General features: G+C 49.5%; 2 annotated features.

Moving 5' to 3' along the window:
• Nucleotides 3,258–3,637: an enhancer, noted in NCBI's record as "active region_18080". NCBI's record gives its function as "activates an Ori minimal core promoter by ATAC-STARR-seq in GM12878 lymphoblastoid cells {active_cell/tissue: GM12878}" and the evidence as "EXISTENCE:reporter gene assay evidence [ECO:0000049][PMID:35858748]".
• Nucleotides 3,688–3,807: an enhancer, noted in NCBI's record as "active region_18079". NCBI's record gives its function as "activates an Ori minimal core promoter by ATAC-STARR-seq in GM12878 lymphoblastoid cells {active_cell/tissue: GM12878}" and the evidence as "EXISTENCE:reporter gene assay evidence [ECO:0000049][PMID:35858748]".

Raw genomic sequence — 6,000 nt, 5'->3', positions numbered from 1 at the left:
TCTATTAAAAATACAAAAAAAAAAAAAATTAACCGGTCGTAGTGGTACTTGCCTGTAGTCCCAGCTACTTGGGAGGCTGAGGCAGGAGAATCACTTGAACCCGGGAGGTGGAGGTTGCAGTGAGCAGAGATCGCACCACTGCACTTCATCCTGGGTGACAGAGTGAGACTCTATTTCAAAAAAAAAAAAAAAAAATCCAGGTACCAGCCAGGCGCAGTGGCTCACGCCTGTAATCCCAGCACTTTGGGAGGCCGAGGCGGACAGGTCACCTGAGGTCAGGAGTTCGAGACCAACCTGACCAACATGGAGAAACCCTGTCTCTTTTTATTATTATTGTTATTATTTTCGAGACAGAGTCTCTCTCTTGTTGCCCAGGCTAGAGTGCAATGGCGCGATCTCAGCTCACCACAACCTCTGCCTCCTGGGTTCAAGCTATTCTGCCTCAGCCTCCCAAGTAGCTGGGATTACAGGCATGCGCCACCACGCCTGGGTAATTTTGTATTTTTAGTAGAGACAGGGTTTTCCATGTTGGTCAGGCTGGTCTCAAACTCCCGACCTCACGTGATCCTCCTGTCTCAGCCTCCCAAAGTGCTGGGATTACAGGTGTGAGCCACTGCACCCGGCCTGAGAAACCCTGTCTCTACTAAAAATACAAAAATTAGCCAGGCGTGATGGCGCATGCCTATAATCCTAGCTACTCGAGAGGCTGAGGCAGGAGAATCACTTGCACCCAGGAGGCGGAGGTTGTGGTGAGCCAAGATCGCGCCACTGTACTCCAGCCTGGGCGACAAGAGCGAAACTCCATCTCAAGAAAAAAAAAAAAAGAAAGAAAAAAAAAAACCTGGTGCCACCACTTACCTAATGGCTGTGCATTCTTGGACAAGTCCTTTGTCTTTTCTGAGCTCAGTCCCTGACTCTCTCGAAGGGGCTGTCACCCCATGCAGCTCATTCCCTGGAATGATTGAGTCACAGCAGTGAGCACCTGCAAGGTGAAGATTTGTGGTCTTGGTGAAGATTCGTGGTCTGGGTGAATATTCGTGGTCTTGGTGAATATCGGCCCCCCAGAGTTGAAGAATGAGCTGTCCATAGATACTGAGGTGGAGGATGGATTCAGTTCACTGGCAGTGCTCAGGGTGGGCACCACAGGGCACCCAAATGTCACTCTATGGCCCTCAAGATTGACAGGGTGGCCATGACTGCAGAGTGCCAGACCCCCTAGGTCCCGGAACATTGCCAAGTGTTGCATGTTTTTCCTGTGTGTGTGTGTTTCTGTTTAAAAAGAAAAATACATACTCCTTACTGTTACTACTTTTTGTAGAGGTGGGGTCCCATTATGTTGCCCAGGCTGGCCTTGAACTCCTAGCCTTAAGGGATCCTCCTGCCTGAGCCTCCCAAAGTGCTGGAGTTAAAGGTGTGAGCCTGTAAAAACCCAAAACCCATGCCTGGTGCATGCTCATTACAGAAATTCAGAGACCTATAAAAAAGAAAACTTAACCCCAGCCACCCCACTATCCAGACAGAACCACTGTTGACCCCCAGGGCAGACAGGCGCTTCCCTCTGTGTGAAGGCAAGGATGGGTAAAGCTAGAGGTAAAATTTTACAGAAATGGGGCCTTGGCCAAGCGCAGTGGCTCACGCCTGCAATCCCACACTTTGGGAAGCTGAGGTATGTGGATCGCCTGAGCTCAGGAGTTCAAGACCAGCTGAGCACCATGGTGAAACCTCATCTCTACCAAACATTAGCCAGGTGTAGTGGCATGCACCTGTAGGTCCAGCTACTTGGGAGGCTAAGGTGGGAGAATTGCTTGAACCCAGAAGGCGGAGGTTGCAGTGAGCTGAGATCGTGCCACTGCACTCCAGCCTGGGTGACGGAGTGAGACTCTCTCAAAAAAAAAAAAAAAAAGAAAAGAAAAGAAATGGGGCCATATCATTTTTTCAGGCTGCTTGGCAAACTGCTTTTTCTGCCTGTCAGCACCTTCTCAAGGCAATGTGTGACAATCGAGTTTGTCCGTGGGACTATTGACTGCTTGCTTGTGAACTAAAAGATGCTCCCTTAGGGGAAGCTATCATAATACAGACGCAGAAGAGGTTAAACATTACCTAACAGGAAATGCCCTCCTCCTCGCCATTGCCTCAGCCTCCTCTCCCAGAAAATCACTGTGACTGTGGGTACAAACCTTCCAGATCCTTCCTTTTTTCCTTTCTTTTTCTCCTTTCCTTTCTGTCAACAAATATTCACTGAGTACTGACCGCTTATTCGTTCATTCATTTAATTGTTCAAGAAACATTTTGGGGCCGGGCACTGTGGCTCATGCCTGCAATCCCAGCACTTTGGGAAACCAAGGCAGGTGGATCACGAGGTCAGGAGTTCGAGGCCAGCCTGGCCAACATAGTGAAACCCCATCTCTACTAAAAATACAAAAATTACCCAGGCGTGGTGGCGTGTGCCTGTAGTCCCAGCTACTGGGGAGGCTGAGGCAGGAGAATCGCTTGAACCCCGGAGGTGAAGGTTGTGGTGAGGTCAGACTGTACCATTGCACTCTAGCCTGGGCAACAGAGCAAGATTCCAGCTCAAAAAACAAACAAACAAAAAAACAAAACCTAAAAATTAGCTGGATGTGGTGGTGCATGCTTGTAATCCCAGCTACTCGGGAAGCTGAGGCAGGAGAATTGCTTGAACCTGGGAGGTGGAGATTGCAGTGAGCCAAGATTGCGCCATTGCACTCCAGCCTGGGTGACAGAGAGAGACTCCATCTCGAGAAGAAGAAAAAAAAGCATTTTGGGCTGCTAATCATGTGCCAGGCTTATTCTTTCTCTGTTCATATGAGATACATATAATGGGCCGGGCATGGTGGCTTATGCCTGTAATCCCAGCACTTTGGGAGGCTGAGGTGGGAGGATCACTTGAGCTCAGGAGTTTGAGACCAGCCTGGGCAATGTGGCAAGACCCCGTCTCTACAAAAAAAAAATAATAATAATAATGCAAAAATTAGTGAGGCGTGGTGGCATGCACCTGTAGTCGCAGCTACTAAGGAGGCTGAGATGGGAAGGTCACTTGAGCCCGAGAGGTCAAGGTTGCGGTGAGCCGAGATCTCACCATTGCACTCCGTCCTGCATGACAGCGCAAGACCCTGTCTCCAAAAAAAAAAAAAAAAAAAAAATAGAGAAAAATATACATACCATGTATATTTTAGGGATTGTATAATCATCTATAATTGCAAAGTTTTCAGAACACACCAGGACTCCAGGTAACATATACAATCCACTTGTGCTGGGCATGTAGATTGTTGATGGTGTTTGCTCTACTGAAACGTGCTGGGTAAAATGTGTGTGTTAAAGTGCTTTTTATTTTATTATTGGGTCAAAAGTTAAGCACATTTTGGTGACCTGCAAAGTGAAGCTGGAGAAGGCAAGGACTCATCCTGGGTCACAAAGTGAGACATTGGTGGCATTTGTAACTGCAAGCAGAAGATTGACAGCCTTGGGAAAGCCCCGTGCCCAGCGCTGGGTCTTTCCCTGGGGTAAAGATGAGTTTCTCTGAGGGATCCCCGTCCCGAGGGCCCCCATGAGTGACACATGGGTTTCATTTCTCCTTGCTGCTACCTTTTCAGCCCCATTTAAGCTTTTATTTCAGGCCATAGCTCCAGCTAAATAGAATTGAGTTTGGTGCCCTGCGTCCCCTAGCCTGAGGACCTTCCAGGTTGTACCCAGAGAGGAAGTGTGCACGGCAAGTGTCCCGGCTCCTCCAGGTCTGGGCTGCCCAGCCCTGGCACTCAGGATTCCAGGGGATGAAACAGGATGCCAGACCCTGGGATCTGCAGGCCAGCTCAGGTCCCCAGACTTTGGTAAGAGACGCAGAGTGCCTGAAACCGTAGGATTATCCTCTAGATGAACTTGGAAAGCTTCGCTACTCTCCCTTTCTTCATATCCGTAAAATGGGCATAGTTACAGCCACTGTTTACTAAAGCTTACTCTTCCAGGCCCGAGGGCAAGCAATTTACAAGTTTTTTTTTTCTTTTTTTCTTTTTTTTTTTTTTTTGAGACAGAGTTTCTCTCTTGTTGCCCAGGCTAGAGTGCAATGGCACGATCTCAGCTCACCGCAACCACCGCCTCCTGGGTTCAAGCGATTCTCCTGCCTCAGCCTCCTGAACAGCTGAGATTACAGGCATGTGCCACCACGCCCAGCTAATTTTGTATTTTTAGTAGAGATGGGGTTCCTTCATTTTGGTCAGGTTGGTCTTGAACTCCCTACCTCAGGTAATCCGCCCACCTCGGCCTCCCAAAATGCCGGGATTACAGGCGTGAGCCACCGTGCCGGCCAATTTACAAGGATTTACTCACTGAATCTGTACAACAACCCCAGGAAGGAGAGGCTGCTTGTCAGATAAGAAAATGGACACTCAGAGAGGTTGAACAACTTGCTCTAGGTCACACAGGAGGTAGGCAATGGAGCAGAGACTGAACCCAGGAAGTTTGACTCTAGAGCCCCTAAACTCTATAGGACCTTCTCTTATACCCACATTGCCTCAGGCTGTTGTGATGATTAAATTAAATAATCCGTGCAAAACAGGTAGTGAACTGGAATGAAGTGTTTCTGTTACCATCATCGTCATTATTATTTGCCTGAGTGTTTGCTCTTTGCCTCCCTGGGTCCTTATTTCCCTCACTTGGCGAAAAATCCTGTCCCGGCATCATCCTTGTCTCCTCCCTCAGTCTGCTCATTCATGTGTCGCCAAACAGCACCCCTGCCTCATCTGCCACCATCACGGGGCCGTGGCCACCTCCTCAACTGCTCTTCCTGCTGCCAGACCTGCTCCCATCACAGTGGCCCCAGGGATCTTTCCAAAGAGTAAACCCACTCAGTCCCCTCCCTGCCAGCCCCTCCCATGGCTCCCCATTGCCCTCAGGATAAATCTGTAGTTCCCCACTCCGAGGCCCGCATGGCCTGGCCCTGATGCAAGCCGACCTCTCCCTCTGTGGCTGTCACCCAACCCTGGGGTACCTGCTCATGCAGTAACCTCTGCAGTCAGGGCTTGGTGGAGCTTTGACCTAGGGCTCTCTCTCTCTTCCTGGAGCCACAGAGGCAAAATCCTACTCACCTCCCAAGTCTCCTCCTAAGGGTCCCCTCCTCCAGGCCACCTTCCTGACCCTCCTGCAGGGTTTGGTGAGTGAATAATAAAAACTTCCTGGATCTGCTTAAGGCTACAGTGAGCTGTGATTGCACCACTGCACTTCCACCTGGGTGACAGCGTGAGAACCCCCCCCCCCCACCGACCTCCAAATAAATAAACAGATAAGTGCACCTGGATTCATTCCAGACCCTGAGAAAGCCTTGCCAAGCCTTTGGTTGTAGCCACCAGTACACCTGGGGTTGAATTGTAGAACCCAGAGATATGTTCAAGTCAATTCCCAGGACTTGGGAATGTGACCTTATCTGGAAATAGCATCTTTGTGGATGCAATCAAGTAAAGATTAGATAATCCTGGATTAGGGTGGCCCCTACATCCAATGACTGGTGTCTTAAGAGAAACAGAGACGGCTAACCAGTCGCAGTGGCTCACGCCTGTAATCCCAGCACTTTGGGAGGCCGAGGCGGACAGATCACCTGAGGTCAGGAGTTCAAGACCGGCCTGGCCAACATGGTGAAACCCTCTCTCTACTAAAAATACAAAAATTAGCCGGGTGTGGTGGCACATGCCTGTAATCCCAGCTGCTCTGTAGGCTGAGGCAGGAGAATCGCTTGAAGTAGGAGGCAGAGGTTGCAGTGAGCAGCCTGGGCGAGAGAGTGAGACTCCATCTTGAAAAAAAAAAAAAGAGAAACAAAGACACAGAGAAGAGACAAGGAAGGAGTCTACCCTACAGTCTGTGGAGGAAACACAGCCCTGTGGATGCCTTGATGTCCTGCTTCTGGCCTCTGGGACCATGAAGGAATAAACTTCTGCTCTTCCCACCAAGTTCATGGGAATTTGGTGGGGGCAGCCCTAGGAAACTAATATATCA

The sequence above is a fragment of the Homo sapiens genome, chromosome 20, assembly GCF_000001405.40.
Source record: "Homo sapiens chromosome 20, GRCh38.p14 Primary Assembly".
NCBI classification, from domain to species: Eukaryota; Metazoa; Chordata; class Mammalia; order Primates; family Hominidae; genus Homo; species Homo sapiens.
The sequence above is the reverse complement of the archived record's forward strand: the minus strand, read 5'-3'. Positions and strand labels throughout refer to the sequence as shown.